Source organism: Homo sapiens, chromosome 2 (assembly GCF_000001405.40).
Source record: "Homo sapiens chromosome 2, GRCh38.p14 Primary Assembly".
NCBI classification, from domain to species: domain Eukaryota; kingdom Metazoa; phylum Chordata; class Mammalia; order Primates; family Hominidae; genus Homo; species Homo sapiens.
Genome location: NC_000002.12, coordinates 187,652,026 through 187,676,580, shown reverse-complemented (window position 1 = coordinate 187,676,580; position 24,555 = coordinate 187,652,026). Strand labels below are relative to the sequence as shown.

Here is a 24,555-nt window from a genome sequence, read left to right as displayed (position 1 = left end):
AAGTGCTGCAGTAGATAATCTGCTTTTGTGATATCCAAAAAATTGCTAATAATAATACTCAAAACAAATTGTAAAATGAAAACTCCAAACTGAAGCTTCACGTATATCAGTGTGTGCCAGGTTTTTTTCAGTGTGCCAGTATTTTCAAATGAAGGATTTTATTTGAATGTTTGGTTCACCTATTTCAGACTTCAATTTAAATCCCTCAGAGCACAAAAGAAGGAATTAGACTAAGAGAAAGCATAATGTCACAATAGGACAGTCGCTACAAAGAGGAACATTTAAGACCTCTGAATTTTCAGTATACTATGTGTCAGGCCTCTGAGCCCAAGCCAAGCCATTGCATCCCCTGTGACTTGCACGTATACTCCCAGGTGGCCTGAAGTAACTCAAGAATCACAAAAGAAGTGAATATGCCCTGCCCCACCTTGACTGATGACATTCCACCACAAAAGAAGTGTAAATGGCCAGTCCTTGCCTTAACTGATGACATTACCTTGTGAAAGTCCTTTTCCTGGCTCATCCTGGCTCAAAAAGCACCCCCACTGAGCACCTTGCGGCCCCCACTCCTGCCCGCCAGAGAACAAACCCGCTTTGACTGTAATTTTCCTTTACCTACCCAAATCCTATAAAACGGCCCCACCCTTATCTCCCTTCACTGACTCTCTTTTCGGACTCAGCCCACCTGCACCCAGGTGAAATAAACAGCCACGTTGCTCACACAAAGCATGTTTGGTGGTCTCTTCACACAGACGCGCAAGAAATCTGGTGCCATGACTTGGATCGGGGGACCTCTCTTGGGAGATCAATCCCCTGTCCTCCTGTTCTTTGCTCCATGAGAAAGATCCACCTATGACCTCAGGTCCTCAGACCAACCAGCCCAAGAAACATCTCACCAATTTCAAATCCGGTAAGCGGCCTCTTTTTACTCTCTTCTCCAACCTCCCTCACTATCCCTCAACCTCTTTCTCCTTTCAATCTTGGTGCCACACTTCAATCTCTCCCTTAATTTCAATTCCTTTCATTTTCTGGTAGAGACAAAGGAGACACATTTTATCCGTGGACCCAAAACTCGGGCGCCAGTCATGGACTGGGAAGGCAGCCTTCCCTTGGTGTTTAATCATTGCAGGGACACCTCTCTGACTATTCACCCACGTTTCAAAGGTGTCAGACCACGCAGGGACGCCTGCCTTGGTCCTTCACCCTTAGCGGCAAGTCCCGCTTTTCTGGAGAAGAGGGAAGTACCCCAACCCCTTCTCTCCTTGTCTCTACCCCTGTTCTGCTTTTCTGGGAGAGGGGCAAGTACTCCTCAACCCCTTCTCCTTCACCCTTAGCGGCAAGTCCCGCTTTTCTAGGGGGCAAGAACCCCCAATCCCTTATTTCCGTGCCCCAACCTCTTATCTCTGCACCCAATCCCTTATTTCCATGCCCCAACCTCTTATATCTCTGTGCCCCAATCCCTTCTTTCCGCACCCCTACCTCTTATATCTCTGCACCCCAATCCCTTATTTCCACACCCCAACTTCTTATCTCTGTGCCCCAATCCCTTATTTCAGTGTCCCAACCCATTCTCTGCTTTTCTGGAGGGCGAGAAACCCCCACCCCTTCTCCGTGTCTCTACTCTTTTCTCTAGGCTTGCCTCCTTCACTATGGGCAAGCTTCCACCTTCCATTCCTCCTCCTTCTCCCTTAGCCTGTATTCTTAAGAACTTAAAACCTCTTCAACTCTCACCTGACATAAAATCTAAGTGTCTTATTTTCTTGTGCAATGCCACTTGACCCCAATACAAACTCCACAGTAGTTCCAAATAGCCGGAAAACGGCACTTTCAATTTTTCCATCCTACAAGATCTAAATAATTCTTGTAGTAAAATAGGCAAATGGTCTGAGGTGCCTGACGTACAGGCATTCTTTTACACATCAGTCCCTTCCTAGTCTCTGTGCCCAGTGCAACTCCTCCCAAATCTTCTTTCCCTCCCGCCTGTCCCCTCGGTACCAACCCCAAGCGTCGCTGAGTCTTTCTAATCTTCCTTTTCTACAGACCCATCTGACCTCTCCCCTCCTTGCGAGGCCGAGCTAGGTCCCAATTCTTCCTCAGCCTCTGCTCCTCCACCCTGTAATCTTTTTATCACCTCCCCTCTTCACACCTGGTCTGGCTTACAGTTTCATTCCATGACTAGCCCTCCCCCACCTGCCCAGCAATTTACTCTTAAAAAGGTGGCTGGAGCCAAAGGCATAGTCAAGGTTAATGCTCCTTTTTCTTTATCCCAAATCAGAAGCGTTTAGGCTTTTTCATCAAATATAAAAACCCAGCCCAGTTCATGGCTCATTCGGCAGCAACCCTGAGACGCTTTACAGCCCTAGACCCTAAAAGATGAAAAGGCCATCTTATTCTCAATATACATTTTATTACCCAATCTGCTCCTGACATTAAATAAAACTCCAAAAATTAGAATCTGCCCCTCAAACCCCACAAGAGGACTTAATTAACTCACCTTCAAGGTGTACAATAATAGAAAAAAGCTGCAATTCCTTGCCTCCACTGTGAGACAAACCCAGCCACATCTCCAGCACACAAGAACTTCCAAATGCCTGAACCGCAGTGGCCAGGCGTTCCTCCAGAACCTCCTCCCCCAGGAGCTTGCTACAAGTGCCAGAAATCTGACCACCAGGGCAAGGAATGCCTGCAGCCCAGGATTCCTCCTAAGCCATGTCCCATCTGTGCGGGACCCCACTGGAAATCAGACTGTTCAACTCACCTGGTAGCCACTCCCAGAGCCCCTGGAACTCTGGCCCAAGGCTCTCTGACTGACTCCTCCTTGGCTTAGCGGCTGAAGACTGATGCTGCCCGATCACCTCGAAAGCCCCGTAGGCCATCACAAACGCCGAGCTTCGAGTAACTCTCACAATGGAAGGTAAGCCCATCCCCTTCTTAATCAATACGGAGGCTACCCCCTCCACATTACCTTCTTTTCAAGGGCCTGTTTCCCTTGCCTCCGTAACTGTTGTAGGTATTGACGGCCAGGCTTCTAAACCTCTTAAAACTCCCCAACTCTGGTGCCAACTTAGACAATACTCTTTTAAGCACTCCTTTTAGTTATCCCCACCTGCCCAGTTCCCTTATTAGGCGGAGACACTTTAACTAAATTATCTGCTTCCCTGACTATTCCTGGACTACAGCTGCATCTCATTGCCGCCCTTCTTCCCAACCCAAAGCCTCCTTTGCGTCCTCCTCTTGTATCCCCCCACCTTAACCCACAAGTATAAGATACCTCTACTCCCTCCTTGGCGACCGATCACGCACCCCTTACCATCTCATTAAAACCTAATCACCCTTACCCCACTCAATGTCAAGATCCCATCCCACAGCACGCTTTAAAAGGATTAAAGCCTGTTATCACTTGCCTGCTACAGCATGGCCTTTTAAAGCCTATAAACTCTCCTTACAATTCCCCCATTTTACCTGTCCTAAAACCAGACAAGCCTTACAGGTTAGTTCAGGATCTATGCCTTATCAACCAGATTGTTTTGCCTATCCACCCCATGGTGCCAAACCCATATACTCTCCTACCCTCAATACCTCCCTCTACTACCCATTATTCTGTTCTGAATCTCAAACATGCTTTACTATTCTTTGGCACCCTTCATCCCAGCCTCTCTTTGCCTTCACTTAGACTGACCCTGACACCCATTAGGCTCAGCAAATTACCTGAGCTGTACTGCCCAAGGCTTCACAGACGGCCCCCATTACTTCAGTCAAGCCCAAATTTCATCCTCATCTGTTACCTATCTCGGCATAATTCTCGTAAAAACACACGTGCTCTCCCTGCTGATCGTGTCCGACTAATCTCCGAAACCTCAATCCCTTACAAAAGAACAACTCCTTGCCTTCCTAGGCATGGTAAGTACGGTCAGAATCCTTACACAAGAGCCAGGACCGCACCCTGTAGCCTTTCTGTCCAAACAACTTGACCTTACTGTTTTAGCCTAGCCCTCATGTCTGTGTGCAGCAGCTGCTGCTGCTTTAATACTTTTAGAGGCCCTAAAAATCACAAACTATGCTCAACTCACTGTCTATATTTCTCATAACTTCCAAAATCTATTTTCTTCCTCATACCTGACGCATATACTTTCTGTTCCCCGGCTCCTTCAGCTGTACTCACTCTTTGTTAAGTCCCACAATTACCATTGTTCCTGGCCTGGACTTCAATCCGGCCTCCCACATTATTCCTGATACCACATCTGACCCCCATGACTGTATCTCTCTGATCCACCTGATATTCACCCCATTTCCTCACATTTCCTTCTTTCCTGTTCCTCACCCTGATCACTCTTGATTTACTGATGGCAGTTCCACCAGGCCTAATTGCCACACACCAGCAAAGGCAGGCTATGCTATAGTACAAGCCACTAGCCCACCTCTCAGAACCTCTCATTTCCTTTCCATCGTGGAAATCTATCCTCAAGGAAATAACTTCTCAGTGTTCCATCTGCTATTCTACTACTCCTCAGGGATTATTCAGGCCCCCTCCCTTCCCTACACTTCAAGCTCGAGGATTTGCCCCCACCCAGGACTGGCAAATTAGCTTTACTCAACATGTCCCGAGTCAGGAAACTAAAATACCTCTTGGACTAAATAGACACTTTCACTGAATAAGTAAAGGCCTTTCCTACAGGGTCTGAGAAAGCCACCACAGTCATTTCTTCCCTTCTGTCAGACATAATTCCTCAGTTTAGCCTTCCCACCTCTATACAGTCTGATAACAGACCAGCCTTTATTAGTCAAATCAGCCAAGCAGTTTTTCAGGCTCTTAGTATTCAGTGAAACCTTTATATCCCTTACGGTCCTCCATCTTCAAGAAAAGTAGAACAGACTAAAGGTCTTTTAAAAACACACCTCACCAAGCTCAGCCACCAACTTAAAAAGGACTGGACAATACTTTTACCACTTTCGCTTCTCAGAAGTCAGGCCTGTCCTCAGAATGCTACAAGGCACAGCCCACTTAAGCTCCTGTATAGACGCTCCTTTTTATTAGGTCCCAGTCTCATTCGACACCAGACCAACTTAGACTGTGCCCCAAAAAACTTGTCATCCCTACTATCTTCTGTCTAGTCATACTCCTATTCACCATTCTCAACTACTCATACATGACCTGCTCTTGTTTACACTGCCAGTTTAGACTGTTTCTCCAAGCCATCACAGCTGATATCTCCTGGTGCTATCCCCAAACCGCCACTCTAAACTCTTGAAGCAAATAAATAATCTTTGCTGGCAGGACTATGCTGAATCTCCTTAGGCACTCTCTAATTAGATGTCCTGGGTCCTCCCAATTCTTAGTGCTTTTATACCTGTTTTTCTCCTTCTCTTATTCCATTTAGTTTTTCAATTCATACAAAACTGTATCCAGGCCATCACCAATAATTCTACATGACAAAGTTTCTTCTAACAACCCCACAATATCACCCCTTACCACAAAATCTTCCTTCAGCTTAATCTCTCCCACTCTAGGTTCCCATGCCACCCCTAACCCCACTCGAAGCAGCCCTGAGAAACATCTCCCATTCTCTCTCCATACCACCCCCAAAAATTTTCGCCACCCCAACACTTCAACACTATTTTTATTTTTCTTATTAATATAAGAAGGCAGGAATGTCAGGCCTCTGAGCCAAGCCAAGCCATCGCATCCCCTGTGACTTGCACATATACGCCCAGATGGCCTGAAGTAACTGAAGAATCACAAAAGAAGTGAATATGCCCTGCCCCACCTTAACTGATGACATTCCACCACAAAAGAAGTGTAAATGGCCGGTCCTTGCCTTAAGTAATGACATTACCTTGTGAAAGTCCTTTTCTTGGCTCATCCTGGCTCAAAAAGCACCCCCACTGAGCATCTTGGGACCCCCACTCCTGCCCACCAGAGAACAAACCCTCTTTGACTGTAATTTTCCTTTACCTACCCAAATCCTACAAAACGGCCCCACCCTTATCTCCCTTCGCTGACTCTCTTTTCGGACTCAGCCCACCTGCACCCAAGTGATTAAAAGCTATATTGCTCACACAAAGCCTGTTTGGTGGTCTCTTCACACGGATGCGCATGAAAGCTACAATCGTGGTTTTTGGCTATGTATTCATTTTTCTCCTACCATTTAGCTATTAAAGTTTCATTGCTATAATTTCAAAGGCATTGAGTTTGGAAATATTAATATGAATATAAAATTACAGCAAAGCTAATGTAAAATAATTTTACTTAATGTGAACTAAAAGAGTAATGTTTCTTTGGTAATTTAAAGGATAAGAGTTCCGTATTTTTTTTTTTAGGATTTAAGTCTTTATATAAATTTATTTATATAATTTGCTGTATTCTTCTAGGTATTATTTTTCCTCTGCAAGCAGTGAGAAACTTTTTTTAAAAAATGTACTGCAGATTTCATATTTATGAATTCAGAAGTGAAACTAAACTATGATAATGAGAAATCAGAATTTAGTTTACAGAGATATTCACTCAAATGTTTATTAATGTTATCTTACAAAATTATTTTAAATTATTTTATATTTTCAGCCCACTATTGAGAACTGCTGCTCATAAAAAAAAAAAAAAAAAACTCCTTTCAAAATATTACTATTTGTTGGCTGAACATGGTGGCTCACACCTGTAATCCCAGCACTTTGGGAGGCCAAGCTGGAGGATCACTTGAGGTCAGGAATTTGAGACCAGCCTGGCCATCATGGCAAAACCCCATCTCTACTAAAAATGCAAAAATTAGCTGGGCATGGTGAAGTGTCCCAACTACTTGGGAGACTGTGGCAGGAGAATTGCTTGAACCCAGGAGGCAGAGGTTGCAGTGAGCCAAGATGGCACCCTGCACTCCAGCCTGTGTGACAGAGCGAGACTTTGTCTTAAATAAACATACATATATATAATATAAATATATATATATAATAAATATATATATATATAAAATAACTATTCACTGACAATGTATTATTCCATTATCCCAAGACATACTTGGAGATATTGCAGGTTCAGTTCCAGAACAGTGGTATAAAGTGACTATTGCAATAAAGCAAGTCATGGAAATGTTTTGGTTTCCCAGTGCAGATACTATAGTCCATTAAGTGTGCAGTAGCATTATATCTAAAAACATAATATGCCTATCGTATTTTAAAAATACCTTTTAATTAAAATATGCTAGTGATCATCTGAGCCTTCAGCAAGTCATAGTCTTTGCTGGTGGAGAATCTTGCCTCTATTTAAATGGCTGCTGACTAACTGATCAGGGTTGTGGTGGCTGAAGATGGGGCTGGCTGTAGCAATTTCTTAAAATAAGACAACAATGAAGTTTGCTGCATTGATTGACTATTTCTTTCATGTAAGATTTCTTTGTATCAATCCTCTCAAACCCTGCTGCTGCTTTATCCACTAAGTTTGTGGAATATTCTAAATATCCTTTGTTGTCATGTCAACAATGTATACAGCATTTTCACCAGGAGTAGATTCCATCTCAAGAAATCACTTTCTTTGATCACATATACCAAGCAACTTCTCATCTGTTAAAGTTTTAAAGTGAGATGGCAACAATTCAGTCACATCTTTAGGCTCCACTTCATATTTCTAGTTTTCTTGCTATTTACCACATCTGCAGTCACTTCCTCCACTGAAGTCTTGAATCCCTCAGTCATTCATGAGGTTTGGAAACAATTTCTACCAAACATGTTAATGTTGATATTTGGACCTCTTTTCATGAATCACAAATATTCTTAATGACATCTAGAATGGTGAATCTTTTCCAGATGATTTTCTATTTACTTTGCACAGATCCATCAGAGGAATCACTATCTATGGAAGCTATAGCCTAACAAAATGTATTTCTTAAATAATAAGACTTGAAAATCAAAATTACTTTTTAGCCATTGGCCACAGAAAGGATGTTAGCAGGCCTGAAAACAACAGTAATCTCCTTGTACATCGCCATCAGCGCTCTTGTGTAACCACGTGCCTTGCTAACCAGTAGTAATATTTATAAGGAATCTTTTTTTTTCTGAGAAATAGATCTCAATAGTAGGCATTCAATATTCAGCAAACCGTGCTGTAAACAGCTGGGATGTCATACAGATTTTGTTGTTCCACTTATAAAGCACAGGCAAAGTCGATTTAGTATAATTCCTAAGGGTTTTAGGATTATCAAAATGGTAAATGAACATTGGCTTAAAGTCGCCAGCTGCATTTGTTTCTAACAAGAGCATCAGCTTGTCTTTGAAGCTTTGAAGCCAGAGATCGACTTCTCCTCTCTTGATACGAAAATCCTAGAAGGCACCTTCTTCCAATAGACATCAGTTTTGTATACACTGAAAATTTGTTTTGCTTAGTGTAGCCACCTTCATTAGGTATCCTAGCTAAATCTTCTACATAAATTGCTGCATCTTCTACATCAACACCTACTGCTTCACTTTGTACTTTCATCTTACAGAGATGACTTCTCTCCTTCAATCTCATAAAACAACGTCTGCTAGCTTCCAACTTTTCTTGTGCAGTTTTGTGATCTCTTTCAGCCTTCGTAGAATTGAAGAGGTAAGATTCAATTAGGTTTTGCATTAGGTTGCTCTTCTCTAGATTAGGTTTTGGTTTAAGGGAATGTTGTGGCTGTTTGATCTTCCATTCAAACCACTAAGTATTTCTCCATATCAGCAATATGGCTGTTTCACTTTTTTTTTTTTTTTTTTTTTTGAGACGAAGTTTCGCTCTTATTGCCCAGGCTGGAGCACAATGGCTAATCTTGGCTCACTGCAGCCTTTGCCTCCCGGGTTCAAGCGATTTCTCCTGCCTCAGCCTCCTGGGTAGCTGGGATTACAGGAGCCCACCACCATGCCTGGCTAATTTTTGTATGTTTGTAGAGGTGGAGTTTCACCATGTTGTCCAGGCTGGTCTTGAACTCCTGACCTCAGGTGATCCACCTGCCTTGGCCACCCAAAGTGCTGGGATTATAGGCGTGAGCCACTGTGCCCAGCCCCCACTTTTTTTGTTTTGTTTTGTTTTAAGACAGAGTCTTGCTTTGTCGCCCAGGCTGGAGTGCAGTGGCACAATCTCAGCTCACTGCAACCTCTGCCTCTCTGGTTAAAGTGATTCTCATGCCACCATGCTTGGCTAATTTTTGTATATTTAGTAGAGATGGGGTTTCACTATGTTGGCCAGACTGGTTACGAACTCCCACCCTCAAATGATCCGCCCATCTCGGCCTTCCAAAGTGCTAGGATTACAGGCGTGAGCCACCATGCCTGGCCTAGAGTAGCACTTTTAATTTCCTTCAATACTTTTTATTTGCCTTTACAAGTTGGCTAACTGGTACAAGAGTCCCAGTTTTCGGTATATCTTGGCTTTTGACATGCCTTCCTCACTAAGCTTGATAATTTAAACTTTTGATTTAAAGTGCTAGATGTGAGATTATTCCTGTCACTTGACCATTCAGAGGCCATTGTAGGGTTATTAGCCGACCTAATTTTAATATTGTTGTGTCTCAGGTAATAGTGAGTCCTGAGGAGACAGAAAGACAGTGGAACGGCCAGTCAGTAGAGCAGTCAGTACCCACATAACATTTATCAATTAAATTCACCATCTTATGTAGCTCCCCAAAAATATTATCTTAGTGACATCAAAGATCACTGATCACTATAACAGATATAACAATAATGGACAGATTAGAAATACTGTGAGAATTACCAAAATGTGACACAAAGACATGAAGTGAGCACATGCTGTTGGAAAAATGGTGCTAAGAGACTTTCTGGACACAGGGTTGCCACAAACCTTCAAATTGTAAAACATGCAGCATCTGCAAAATACAATAAGTGAAGCATAATAAAATGAGACATGTCTGTACTATGGGCTATTTGTATATCTTTTGGTCTGAGATCTGTGTTCAACTTTTCATACATTTTTATTTGGTGGTGTCTTTTTAGAGTTGTAAGAGTTCATTATATATTCTAAATATAAATGATCTCTCTCTCAAACACACACACACACACACACACACACACATCTAATATCTTCTCCAAATCCATGCCATCATTTTCTAAAACCAGTCTTCTGAAGAACGTAAGTTTTAATTTGATAAAGTCCTACTTAACCAATTTCTAATATGCTCAAAGATTTCCTTTCCTTTCTAAGATAATTTTGCCTACTCCAGTCATGAGGATAGTCTTTTATATTTTCTTCCAAAATTTTCTAGGTTAAGATGTAATATTTAGGTCTATAAAACATCACAAAATAATGTTTGTGTATGGTCTAAGGTAGGTTTTTCAAGGTTTATTCAATATTTTTCATGTAATATCTACTTATTCTAACACTATTTCTTTCTTTTTTTTTTTAACTGAAAGCATGTTTATTGAGAAAGTAAAGAAATAAAAGAATGGCTACTCCATAGGCAGAGCAGCCTCCAGCACTATTTCTCATTGAATTTTTCCTATTGAATTTTTCAGGTGCCCTTGTCAAACACAAATTGGTGATTCTGTTTCTAGGCTCTCTACTCCCTCCACTGTTGTATTTGTCTATCCTCACATTAATATTACCCTGCTTGAATTCCTGTATTGCTAATAGTACTAAAATCAGATGTTGTTATTCTTCCAGTTTTGCCTTATTTTTCAATGTGGATTTAGCTATTCTAGGACCTTTGCATTTTTATATAAATTAAGAATCACCTGGACATTTCTACAGTTGAGTTGGATGTGGTTTTGACTGGTATCGCATTGATTCTATTGACCAATTTGTGAAGAATGAATGAGATAACAATATTGAGTTCTCCAATTCAGAAACATAGACTACCTCTCCATTTATCTAGGTCTTTTAAACTGCTTTCAGTAATGTTTCTAATTTTAGTGTGGGAATTTTGTGTATCATATGTTACACATGTCCTTTTATTCTATTATAAACATTATTTTTCATTTTTATTTTCAAGTATTTATTATTTATATATGGAAATACAACTGATATTGAATTTCTATACTGAGATCTTGCTTATTTCAGTTATTAGTTTTAGTTTTTTTGTATTGTAGATTTCATGGATTTTAAATAATCATACAATCTGGGAATAAGTACGATAAGTTCTCTACTTTTTCTTTATACTATATGCTTTTTGTTTATTTTTCTTGCTTTATGGTACTAAGACATCTTTCAAATGTAAATAATTTTAGTAAGAGTGTATATCTTTAAAGTACACCAGAAAATTATCCTAGAAAGTTGTAGTAAGGATTCGTGATACCCTTTCCCCTGTGGCTATTATTTATTCTTTGTTTTTTATTCTTTTTCTCCCCACTAGCTTCTAAAGCTCCCCAGTCAGCTGTTCCCTAATTTCTTTTAAATTGTTTAGAATGACAGTGCATACAGCTATCTCATACATAACTAGGTTAACTCTTCAAATTAATGGCAATGAATTCCTTTATTTATTCATCTGTCTAGAAATAAAACTTACTTTAGCTGATTGACAACATTTGTAAATGCAATGTAAAAGTCTGAGTAAGGAATAGTACCACATTCATATGTGCAGCTGACTTTGAGTAATGAATATACTATATTTTGGATGCTTAGTAATATGATTTGAGAATGCCAGTGGTTACTCCAAGGTTGTCATCCCTGTTCTAATATTCTTCACAGAGACCTGCTTTTGGTAGAAAAGAGCTGATGTTGGTTACCAACAAAAAAAAAAATAAGTAAAAATATAAAGTATCCAGAGTTCAGAAAATCATTGAGAAAATTTAACTTTCCTTTGGACACCTTGATCCATGAGTTTGCCTATGCATTTTTAAACTCAGAGTATTTCTAAAAGCCTGTTTCTGCTTAGAAATATGAAAGAAAACATTTTCCATACCTTTTTATAATTTAAGTTAGAAACATTAAAAACAGACACTTTAAAATCTTAACCACCTATAGTAACAATGATGAAAAATTCCTTGGAATTTTCATCACAACAAAAGTCAGAGAAGTCCATCAGCCTTTGCTCACCTCCTCATCACCTATAGCCTCTGAAATGCCCTTTGGCCAAGGCTTCATCACCCTTCGAAGTCTAGTTGTCTAGTTGTTTCTGCATTCAGTTTGAACACTGGACTCTTTGCTGAGGCCAAGAACTAGGGGGTCAAAGGTTGAGCATCTCTGAGCACATCAGGCATCATCTTTATTCTTCTACTTAATACTATGTACTTAATACACAAGTTACTTCTACAAAAGTTCTTTCATGAGGAAGATACAGTTTCTAAAACTCTATGTGTAATTCAACACTAGCTTTTTTTAAAATGGAGATAAAACTATTTAATATTTAAATGTTAGACATAGATCTTAAAAGCTGACAAAAATAGATGGCATATGTCTATGAAAAAATTAATAGAAACTAAGTTTTAAATATTTATATTAATATGAACATAGAATAAACAAAATATAAAGATAAAAAAACTCCTTAATACTAAGATATATATATGAATAAAAAAAGTCTTAAAACACTAAGTCATGCAGGCCAGATATACAATTATTTTTAAGTATTTTACATGTATAGTAACAGTGATTGTGGTTTTAATATTATCATATTATATTTACAGCTGTGGGTTAGGCCTCTAGCAGGTGAGCTATGACTAAATGTAAATGACTACCAATAGCCTTTGTAACTGGCAGCAGTTATTTCTTTGAAAATGTATAAAGGACATGATTTAAAAGCTAACATATGGATGATATTATACTCTGTATGATGAACAAATTTGTCATTCAACAGTCACATTATCAGCCTGATCTCTTCATCCCCCATTCTCCTTCTTCCATCTTGAGGCCCTAGCCTCAGAACCATGACAATTATCTCTAATACTCACGAAATGATCCGGGTGTGTGGTTTACCTGGCTTCCAATTCCCTCAATCATTCATCCATAGACCTTTAGATTTTTCTTCCAAAAATATTTTATAGCATGTCAGTTAGATGTATTATTTGGGAATGATAAATTGTGAAAGTTAAATGAAGTGTGAAATGTTCTGCTTTGGGATCCATATCATACATAGATCAAAAAGAACTTTGTTCCAAGGCTTTGTCGTGTAAAGCGCTCCAAAATTAAAATAATTTTCTCAGAAGGCTGTGCATATTTTAAGTCCCTTCTCCTTCACTAAATACTTCACCCAGACATATCTAGTTATGATAATGTCAGAGATTGATGAGATCAGCGTATGAGACCAGGTACCTTGGGCCCATTATTTTTGTTATCAGGGTCCATTTTCCCTTAAGACCCCACTCACTTATTATCGTGCACCATGCACACATACACTTAGCTCCGGGTATTTGAGTATATGGTTATCGTGCTGCTTGCATGATGAGACAAAATTGATTCATACAGGACGTGTCATCATCCTATGTTTTAGACCAAATTACATTACAAGAAAATAGATCTCTAACTGTGAATTACGTTTATATGCACAATATGATTTGTCAGAATTTATGTAGGATAGAGATAGACAGGAGTACTTGGGATAGTAAATATTTTTGTCAGTAGAGGATTGAAAGAGTCAATAATTTTGTCTGATTTATTAGACTTGGGGAAATAAGATGCTTGCTCACAGGCTGGATTAAAAATGGAGTCAAAACTGTCTTGAGCCATGAGGTATCCTTGGAACTAGATACCTCCTACACAGTGGAACAACAAAATAGAAAAATCCTGGCTTCCTCAAACAGTGGACATCATGCTGTGCTTGCTGGAGAAAAAGAAAGGAGTCTAGCAGAAAGCTTCAGAAGAAAATCTGAGGTTAGTCTCTCATCTCAAGGCTCAACTTTGACCTCATTGATTTTAGGTTCTTTAATAAGAAGTTCCCAAAATATTTAAAAGAGTTTACAAAGTGAATCTCAAGGAATGGCCAAGATGGCCAACTAGAAGCAGCAAGTATGCATGGCGCTCACAAAGAGGAGCAGAAGAGACAAGTAAATACAGTAACTTCAACAGAAACATCAAGGTACTCACATTGGGATTAATCAAGGAAACAACTTGACCCACAGAGAATGAAGAAAAGCAAAGACAGAACAACTGCCCACCCGGGAGCAACAAGCAGCTAGGGGATTCTCCCCTGCCCAGGGAAGTGATGAGTGAATGAGCAACCCCAGGAAACAATGCTTCTCCAACAGAACTTGGCAACCCTTAGGTCAGGAGATCTCCTTGTGAACCCACTCCTCCAGGGCCTTCAATCTTCAGTCTGACAGACAGCTATGTGGAGTCTCGGCAGAGCAGCCCCTCGGGCATGCATAGAGACCCTGGAGACTTAGATATTCGGGCTTTCCAGCAAAAGCAGCTGCAGCTCCAGCAAAGTGAGAGGTTATACTCCCATACATAACACTCGGAAAGAGGCTGAATTAAAGGAACTGAGCAGCAACAGCCTGCGGGCCCCACTTCCATGACTCCTCACCAGGGAAGACCCACTGGCGTAGAATTCCAGCCAGCTACCAGTAGTGGCATTGCATCTTCCTAAGAAGGAGCTCCCAGAGCGGGAAGTCTCGGCTACCATATTTGCTGTTTGGGTTCCTTAGCTGTTCTAGCCTTCAGGCTTTGGAGAGTCTAAGCCAACCCAGGGTGGAAAGGATCCCCCAGTATAGCATAGCTGCTCAACCAAAACTTGACTTTAAGCAGGTGCCTGATCTCTTTCCTTTTCACTGGGCAGGACCTCCAAACCGGGACCTCTGCCTGAGCTACCCAGCCGACAGAGATCTGAAATCCCCTGGGACAAGCTCCCAGAGGGAAGAGTTGGCTGCCATCTTTGCAGTTTGGGTAACTCAGTTGTGCCAGCCTTTTGGCTTTGGAGTGTATGAGACAATCAGGGGCTGAAGTGGACCCAGCACAGCACAGGTGCTCTCCCAAAATTTGAGCAGACTGCTTTTTAAAGTGGTTCTGGATTCCATTTCTCCTCACTGGGCAGGGCCTCCCAACCGGGGTCCCCAGCCACTTCCTTTTATTTTTAAAAAATAAATTAAAAAAAAAGAAAAAGAAAAAAAATCAAGCCAATTAATAATAATAGAAAAATTGGAAACTTACATTAAAAATTCACATTTCCCAAGTTTGTCAAAGATCAGATAGTTGTAGATATGCGGCGTTATTTCTGAGGGCTCTGTTCTGTTCCATTGATCTATATCTCTGTTTTAGTACCAGTACCATGCTGTTTTGGTTACTGTAGCCTTGTAGTATAGTTTGAAGTCAGGTAGCATGATGCCTCCAGCTTTGTTCCTTTGGCTTAGGATTGACTTGACGATGCGGGCTCTTTTTTGGTTCCATATGAACTTTAAAGTAGTTTTTTCCAATTCTGTGAAGAAAGTCATTGGTAGCTTGATGGGGCATTGAATCTGTAAATTACCTTGGGCAGTATGGCCATTTTCACGATATTGATTCTTCCCACCCATGAGCATGGAATGTTCTTCCATTTGTTTGTATCCTCTTTTATTTCATTGAGCAGTTTGTAGTTTCCTTCTCCTGCCTAATTGCCCTGGCCAGAACTTCTCTTTGTAGTTTTCCTTCTCCTCCCTAATTGCCCTGGCCAGAACTTCTCTTTGTAGTTTTCCTTCTCCTGCCTAATTGCCCTGGCCAGAACTTCCAACACTATGTTGAATAGGAGTGGTGAGATGGGGAAAGGATTCCCTATTTAATAAATGGTGCTGGGAAAACTGGCTAGCCATATGTAGAAAGCTGAAACTGGATCCCTTCCTTACACCTTGTACAAAAATTAATTCAAGATGGATTAAAGACTTAAACATTAGACCTAAAACCATAAAAACCCTAGAAGAAAACCTAGGCATTACCATTCAGGACATAGGCATGGGCAAGGACTTCATGTCTAAAACACCAAAAACAATGGCAACAAAAGCCAAAATTGACAAATGCGATCTAATTAAACTAAAGAGCTTCTGCACAGCAAAAGAAACTACCATCAGAGTGAACAGGCAACCTATAGAATGGGAGAAAATTTTCGCAACCTACTCATCTGACAAAGGGCTATCCAGAATCTACAATGAACTCAAACAAATTTACAAGAAAAAAACAAACAACCCCATCAAAAAGTGGGTGAAGGATATGAACAGACACTTCTCAAAAGAAGACATTTATGCAGCCAAAAGACACATGAAAAGATGCTCATCATCACTGGCCATCAGAGAAATGCAAATCAAAACCACAATGAGATACCATCTTACACCAGTTAGAATGGCAATCATTAAAAGTCAGGAAACAACAGGTGCTGGAGAGGATGTGGAGAAATAGGAACACTTTTACACTGTTGGTGGGACTGTAAACTAGTTCAACCATTGTGGAAGTCAGTGTGGCGATTCCTCAGGGATCTAGAACTAGAAATACCATTTGACCCAGCCATCCCATGACTGGGTATATACCCAAAGGACTATAAATCATGCTGCTATAAAGACACATGCACACGTATGTTTATTGCGGCACTATTCACAAGAGCAAAGACTTGGAACCAACCCAAATGTCCAACAATGATAGACTGGATTAAGAAAATGTGGCACATATACACCATGGAATACTATGCAGCCATAAAAAATGATGAGTTCATGTCCTTTGTAGGGACATGGATGAAATTGGAAATCATCATTCTCAGTAAACTATCGCAAGGACAAAAAACCAAACACCACATGTTCTCATTCATAGATGGGAATTGAACAATGAGAACACATGGACACAGGAAGGGGAACATCACACTCTGGGGACTGTTGTGGGGTGAGGGTAGGGGGGAGGGATAGCATTAGGAGATATACCTAATGCTAAATGATGAGTTAATGGGTGCAGCACACCAGCATGGCACATGTATACATATGTAACTAACCTGCACATTGTGCACATGTACCCTAAAACTTAAAGTATAATACTAAAAAAAAAATTCACATTTCCAGTTTTTCTTCATAACTTAGATCCAATAACAGAAGCCCACGTTGCTGCTTTGGAGTGAATGCTTTGCTGGATGGGAAATTAATCATAAGGCTGAATCAGGGATTATAAATCCCTTATATCATAAAGCTGAAGCAGGGATTAAATGAAAAAGGAAAAAAATTAAATATCATTGTTGCAGGACTTTTCCTTAGTTCAGCTAAAAACAGGGTCCTTGTCCCACAGCCACAAAAATTTAGGCTTGCAGACAATTTGAAGGGTGAGTAAAGCAGGGTTTTATTGGGTGAAAATGAAAAAAAGAGGGAACAGTGACTCTCCAGAAGGCCAGAGTCCCTGCTGGTGCACTTCCCATCTTGCAGCTTGAATCCCAGTTTCCACAGGAAGAGAAGGGGCCAATCTCCTCCCCGCTACAATGGCGTGAACTTCTGTGTCTCCACCAGGTGTGCAAGTCAGGTGGAGTTTTTCTGAGGACCCCTGGCCACCTGTCTGTCTCATTGCCCCCTCTAAAGAAGTGCATCTAACTGCCCTTAGAATAAGGAAAAGGATAAGGATGAAGACGGGTCTTAACTGCATCCTACTGACTGTTTTGGGGAACTGCAGTCAGAGCTCCCTCAGAGGCTTATCTAAGGATGCCTGACAGAAGGGGCTGTAGTCAGAGGCTCTGGTTGCATGACCTGAGTTTGATGGCCTGAAGTCAAAAAACGACAAACCGGGTTATTAGAAAACATCTATGAAAATGAAACAAGGGGAAGGGTAAGGACAGCTCAAACATCCTGAGTTCTTTTACTAGTTTGCAGAGATAGCGGGAAGCCAAAAGCCCCACTGGTTAAAAAAAAAAAAAAAAACTTTATCCTCTTGCCAGCATGTTAGGCTTCTGGGTTCCCTTCCCCTGGGACCAATCTTAAGCCAATCAGTTTAAGGTTTGGGAAATTAACTCTTTCCAGTTTAGAGGATGTATCTGAGGAGAGTGTTCCATAGTACAGAGACACAATTACCTATCTGTGAAGAGAGGACAGAGGAGGAGAAAGGAAAAAAGAAGGCATTTTTCAAAGGAATCCCAGGGGCTCAGGATGCATTTGAGAGAGATACAGACTGAAGATGAATGACAACCCATCTAGAAAGAGAGGAGCGGGTATCCCTGGTTCCCTTCTCTTCCTAGCAGATACCCGGGGTACATGAGGGAGAGAGGGAAGAGCATCCTCTTTCCCTCCTCCATTCTTGCATCTCCAAATCCTGGTGACCTTGGCAGGTGCCGCCACGGGTTGCAAAGCAGCTTGCACCCATGAATCAGGGAGGGCCTAAAGAATAGGAATTGTCTGCTCTCACCTATGTATTTTTCCCTCCTACTATCAGTAACCTTGGATTACCTAGATCTCATTTATGCCATGGATACTAATGTGGCCTTTATCTATGAAACAGGAAGCTTGGGCTTGGCTTAATCTGCAGGAATCAGCCACATTCACCTATGCTGTGCCTTTTAACTTCCATTATTGTCTGCCTCTGGATCTCTTATATCTAGTTTTCTTTCCTAGGGCTTTGACCCAAAGCTTAGAATTGAGTTTGGGACAAATGTGTCTGTGGGATGTTGCATGGACTCCTTATCATAATCTGAATGCTAAGGTGAAACTATGGAACTGAGTCTCCCTCCAACAAGCAAGAGAGAAGGATGTCTTATGACACACCCAGATAACTGGTGGCTATAGTTATGCTTGCTAGGATTTGGGTGCATGGTGCTTGGCTTTGGTTAGCACCCTTGGTCTTACCTTCCCAAAAAGAAAACCTCTGAGTGATGGACATCTTTCTTATTTCTATCACCTGGCAGGATTTGCAGGATAATTGCTCAGAATTAGAATATTGATCCAGATTTTTACATTACCCATCTCTCTTGTTCCTTTTAAGCTGCAGGCAGAGATTGCTGGTTAGTTCATAGGAATAAGTAGGGTTAGTTTAAAAGTGTAAGCAAAAACTTAAAAATAACTAATGAGTTTAGAACATAATGACCAATGTGTAAGTTTTGAAATATAATTTCTCTCTCTCCAGTCTTCATTTTTGTTAAAAAACAAATAATCATAGGACTAAGTTGTTTGCAAAATAGACTTTAGTTTTATACTTGGCATGATTATTTGCATAAAGTGCAGCAAGAACAACTATTTCTACATAGGCCTTTTGGATTGCCTTTGATGGAACTCTGTTTCCTCAAGGAATCTCAGATAAGACCTTTTAAATCCAAGCCCAGGCATGGGTTTGTATCCTCAAATACCTGTGTCTTGGGTGATTCTCTCCTCTTAAGGTCCCAAGATAAACGTGGAGCTCATAGGCTCCACTCAATGTTACAGAATGACATTCTTTACTGACCACAGGTCAGGAACACTGCACAGGGACTATGTAGGCAAGGGTATGAGGCCAGGTTCCCCACTGGACTTCTATCAGCTCTGCAAGTCAAGATTGACTCTTTAAAGGGAAGCATACACTTCCAGTCAAAGCCTTGGTAAAGCTACCAGTTTTTCCAATTGTGTCCTCTTGCGAAAGAAAATGTATTCTTATTGCACTGATGCAAACAACCATGTTGCCGTAAGTTAAAAATACTCACAGATAGTTTCCCAATTCTAGAGGAACCAGGCAGAGAGAAACAAACATATTCCAAATCTTGATCACAAAAATATACCTTACTCAATTAGTAAAGGCTATAAATAGTTCAAAATAAGTTTCCTTGACTCTGAAAAGCAAAACAAGGATCAGCAATATTCTAAGCAAAAATCAAAAACATTGCTTCAGTTTCCTGAGTTCAGTCCATTTAGTTCTTGTACATTTTCCTTTATTCTAATGTTATAATCTCCAAAGTTATCAGAAGCCTGTATTTGAGAGCACCTGCTAAAGCTCTATAGCTTATTATAAACTATCTTTTGAAAAGGATTAAAACAGGACAATTGTCTGTGAATAACAAAAAATCCAGGGAAGTTACAGTTAGAAACACAATTGACAAAGAAGTTTGGTTATCTCCATAGCTTACAATAACTTAACAACCTTAAATATGCTAAGTATAGCATATACTTAGACATTAGAACTTTAGAAATCCCACACAATTTTGGAACATACATTAGCATTATTCATAAAACATAACATAAAGAAGATTGAACATCATTTTGGCAATCCCATGTACCTAAATATGTCAAATAATCTTGCTTGCCTCTCTTTTCTGGATGTTTCAGGGGCCCTCTAAGTATCCAAAAAGCCAGGTGTCAGGAAAGACAATTTCAAAACCGAAGTTTGATTTTGGGAAGACTGTAAAATACGTTTGAGGTTTAAAACACTTGATATTATAAAACAGAATTCTAAATTACCATAAGTTACTTATTTTGCCAAAATGATGACTCGGAAATTTTAAAGAAACAAAAATCTTTTATAACCCTTTGTAAATTTTGCCAAAGAATAGTGCCTTAAGAAAACCTTGTTGTGCTTTCATTTTAATGATCAATTTACAGAAAAACCATATAGTACCGTTTTTGAATTTAGTCAGTATGTTCACACAGAGAACCTCTTCTGCAAGATTTATTTCCACAATCCTTCCACCACTTGTTGGAACCTTCAGCTTTATCCTATCTAATTCAAAACAATCCTTTAACTCTAGGCAAAAATTTACATTTCCATGTCTTTTTATAACTTTTCACAAAAAAAACCACATTGTGCTCTTCTTACACATCTTGCATGTAAATCTGTTTCCAGTAGTCTCAATTACATGTTATAATGGTAACTCCTGGCAATTTTTAACTTTAATGTATGACCTGGTAGGTTGTTTTAATTGTGTGCTAGGTTCATAATTAAAGGTGTGGTTAATTCCTTATGTCCCTAAGCATTACCAATTGTAAAGGCAGCAAGTCAAATAGTTCTCAAAACCCAGAAAGTAGTTTATAACCGTAAAATATTTAGCAAACCTTGCATCTGTCCTGCATAGTTTAGTTCACCTGTTTACATTTTAATGACACCTGCATTTTACCAATAATCTTTAAGGCTGTTTTGATTTCTCAAAGATTAAAGTCACATGAAATAAAAGGTACCACAGCTTTTATCTTCCCTTTAAAAAAATATTTGATCCAAGCACTTGTCTTTCGTAGGCCAAATTAATTAGAGCTCTTTTTACAGACTTCACACACATCACAGACACAGGAAGGAGAAAGCCCAGGTCCCACAAGATTCTTTTTCATGACCAACACTTTACAGAGAATATAAAGTGATAGTTGGGGGGCCTGGCCTAGTAAAGTCTTCTAAAAGGGGGAAAAAAAAAACCTATAAAAGTTAACTGCTGATGGGGTGGAGAAGAGGAAAGAAAAGAAACGGTTTTAAAATACCCGGGGAGGAACCTCTTACTCTAATGCAAGTTGTTCCTCCACCAGGGAGACAAGTTTAATTGCTGTGGGATGGAGCTGGCCCCAGGACGGGGAGACTCCCGCCAAGCAACCACCCACGGTGCCTCAGCCATGTGTCCCAGCTCTGGCAGGGATGGGTGGGGGCGGGGGGGTGGCGGTGGGGAGTGGTGGAGGGGAGCCAATGCTTGCTGGTCTGTTCCAAAAAAGGAAGGAAAGGCCATGGAGACTCAGGCCGACTTCTCTGACCCCTGGGAGTGACTGAGATGGGGGCATGGTTTCCCCTACCTTCAGAAATACTAGTATGAAAAAGCTTAGAAGCGACAGTGAGAGGTTTTGAGTTCCCATTTCACTCACCACTTCTCAAGTCCTATGCTGTGTGCCAAAAATGTTGCAGGACATTTCCTTAGTTCACCAAAAGACGGAGTCTTTGTCTCAGAGCCATGAAAAGTTAGGATTGTAGATGACCTGAAGGGTGAGTAAGGCAGGGTTTTATTCGGTAAAAAGGGAAAAAAGGGGTAACAGGGACTCTTCCCAACGCCAGAGATCCTGCTAGTGAGCTTCCCTCCTTGCAGCTTGAATTTCCGGTTCCACCCAGGAAAAGGAGGGGCCAGTCTCCTCTCCATTGCAAACAGGTGTGAACTTCTGTGCCTCCAACCCAGTGTGCAGGCCAGCTGGAGTTTTGCCAGGGAGCCCTTCCCATCTGTCTGTCTCACCATTACAATGGTACACAGTAAAAAATAGCTATAATTATTGTAAAGCCATAAGGATAAACAGAGTGCTTCTTTCAAAGAATAAATAAATGAGTCCACTTCTACCCTTAACCACCGCCAACTACTGCCCCCACCCCACCCCTGCCAAAATAAAGGTTGACAATAAGAGCAGAAGAATAAGTGAGATTAAAGGTAGATTAATCTTTTTATAGTCAGTGCTATATTGTGATTGGATATGAACAATTATGTCATGGAATTTTTCTGTGACTTCTATAAAATTACATAGCTGCAGAAGATGATTTCTAAGGTTTCTCTCACACTTTAAAATTTAAATTCTGTCTTCCTCTCTGAGGATATAACATGAAGTGTTAGATAAAGGAATAGATCATTATTCTTAAGATTAGATATAAAAGAGCAAGAAGAGAAAAAGTATTAAATTATTTCACTGAAATATATATGTATAAATTTTTATTTTAATTCTATTTATATATGTAAATAAAAATGAACAAGCTAAGCTATTGGAATGATTCATTTTATTTGCATCTTACCAGAATGTGAATTCCATTTAGCTCAGTAAAAATGACATACATTGCCCTCATAATTAGAAAAAGCCTGGATGACAGTAGCAATGGATATAGGCTTTTATTTCCTGTTAGGACTCACTTGGTCTGTCATCTTGCTTCTCTCTGTGTGTTGGTTTTCAGACTGGGGACAGGGCCACAAACAACTTTATACTAACATGCTGAAAATCCCCTTGACAGATAATAAAGGAACTCTTATTACCATCTATAGCATGAAAAAATCATGATTGAACTTGTGTTTAAGCAAGGTTCTTTATAGTCAATTGTCTGTTACCAGGGGAAAATTGCATTAATGGTGATTCAGGGAGTCATTGAGAATCTCTCTCATTACATGTTCATGGTATTTGAACTAAATGTCTTTAGTAAAAGCCAGAAAGGTAAATTAGTAGCATGTCCATGAACTTTACTATGTAAATTGGGACACTAGTGAGAATGAAAATGTTGGTATTTGAGAATGAAATGTTGTGACAAGGGTAAGACAGGATGGCACTAGGCCAGCAGGGATATATGGTCACCTTATATGTGACTGAAAGAGGGTGATAATGGTTGTGGAGAAGCAGAAAAACATTTTCCATGGAAAAGGACATTCCCACCAATGCAGCAAGGTAGGCTGCTTCTTAGATCTAATTTGTCAAGAAAAACTGAAAAGATGATTTTTTTATATGTAAGTTTCCAATTTCCATTTGCTCTGTGAGTTAATTTGGGCAAGGAAAATATTCAGATTATTATTTAATGTAAGTTATTCTAATGAAAACTTTGACATAATTATAGTCCATATTACCAAAAATCATTTCCTATAGGTAGTTTAGCCTATTGGGGATAGTTTCATAAGGGAGTTAAGAAGTGAGTGCATTTTAGAACAAAGAAATAAGTGCTCTAGGTCTTTTCAGTCAGAGTTCACAGTCTCATTTGGGTTATAAAAAATGGGGTTATGTCTAATCATTAAATGGCCAAGCTACTTCCAATTATGAAAGCCTAGTATACCTTATGTTTCTTGTCCTCTAGGTAAGAAAATATTCTTCATATGGCATAAGTCTGGATTATGAGCATGCTACAGATTGAGTTTTCTGGGAAAGAGATTCTGAGGTATTGGTTTGTGTGGTGGATGTTGTTTTTCAGGGAGCAGCATCTATAAAATAGCAAAGAAGGAGTCCAGATGGTTCAGAGGGAGAAGCTGAGCTGTGTTGCAGATCCCAGTCTCACTTAACCCAGTGGGAGAGATCTGAAGCTGAAATGGCCATCAGTGTTGTCTGGTGTTGGCCTTGATCAGTCATTGAATCTCAGCCACCTAAGGGCTTAACCAGGAGTGAGCCTCACTCTACATCATTTATTACATAGTCCATACTTTGCCCCTTGATTTGAAATGCCACTTTCAATATTTATGATGTTGTATGTGTGTCTGCCCATTATTAGGTCTCAGTAGTTTCAGTTTTCCCCATAGTTTTTGTCCTTTTAAATTCTGAACAGAAAACATATTGTAATAGATATTTTAATTTTTTGCATGTATGAAAGAAACATTTTAATTGTATGTATTAATCTTTTATAAAGCCAATTTTGTTGAGCTCTCTTAAAGGTTACGGTAGGCTGTCGTTTAATTGCTTATTTAATTCTCATATAAAGTAAGCCTCTTGAATTATCTGAATAGACTAACAAAGAAATCAAATGCATAAACTATTTAAATCCTAAATACCTATGTTTTCTCATGAAATAATATATGTATACGTGTGAATAAATATGTAGATGTTACTTATTAAAAATTCCATGTTTTGTAAAATGTAATGCTGCCTCCAAATATATTAGACTTTTATATTATAGCAACATATTTTAACTTTCTAATCTCATTGCAACTGCAGATTTATCCATATTTGGTAGCACAGTTTCAACTTATGGGGTTTATCACACAGAATAACAAGTTATAGGCCTGTTGAGAGCCAAAGAAACATAATTGGCATTAGCTGGGTGTGGTGGTGTGCATTGGTACTTCCAGTTACTTGGAAGGCTGAGGT

The 24,555-nt window shown here is 39.9% G+C and overlaps 2 annotated features.

Annotated features, from left to right (window-relative positions):
• Positions 1-813: an enhancer, noted in NCBI's record as "OCT4-NANOG-H3K27ac hESC enhancer chr2:188540495-188541307 (GRCh37/hg19 assembly coordinates)". NCBI's record gives its function as "activates a minimal SCP1, AML or CMV promoter by ChIP-STARR-seq in naive H9 embryonic stem cells {active_cell/tissue: H9 hESC(naive)}" and the evidence as "EXISTENCE:reporter gene assay evidence [ECO:0000049][PMID:30033119]".
• Positions 5,523-6,024: an enhancer, noted in NCBI's record as "OCT4-NANOG-H3K27ac hESC enhancer chr2:188535284-188535785 (GRCh37/hg19 assembly coordinates)". NCBI's record gives its function as "activates a minimal SCP1, AML or CMV promoter by ChIP-STARR-seq in naive H9 embryonic stem cells {active_cell/tissue: H9 hESC(naive)}" and the evidence as "EXISTENCE:reporter gene assay evidence [ECO:0000049][PMID:30033119]".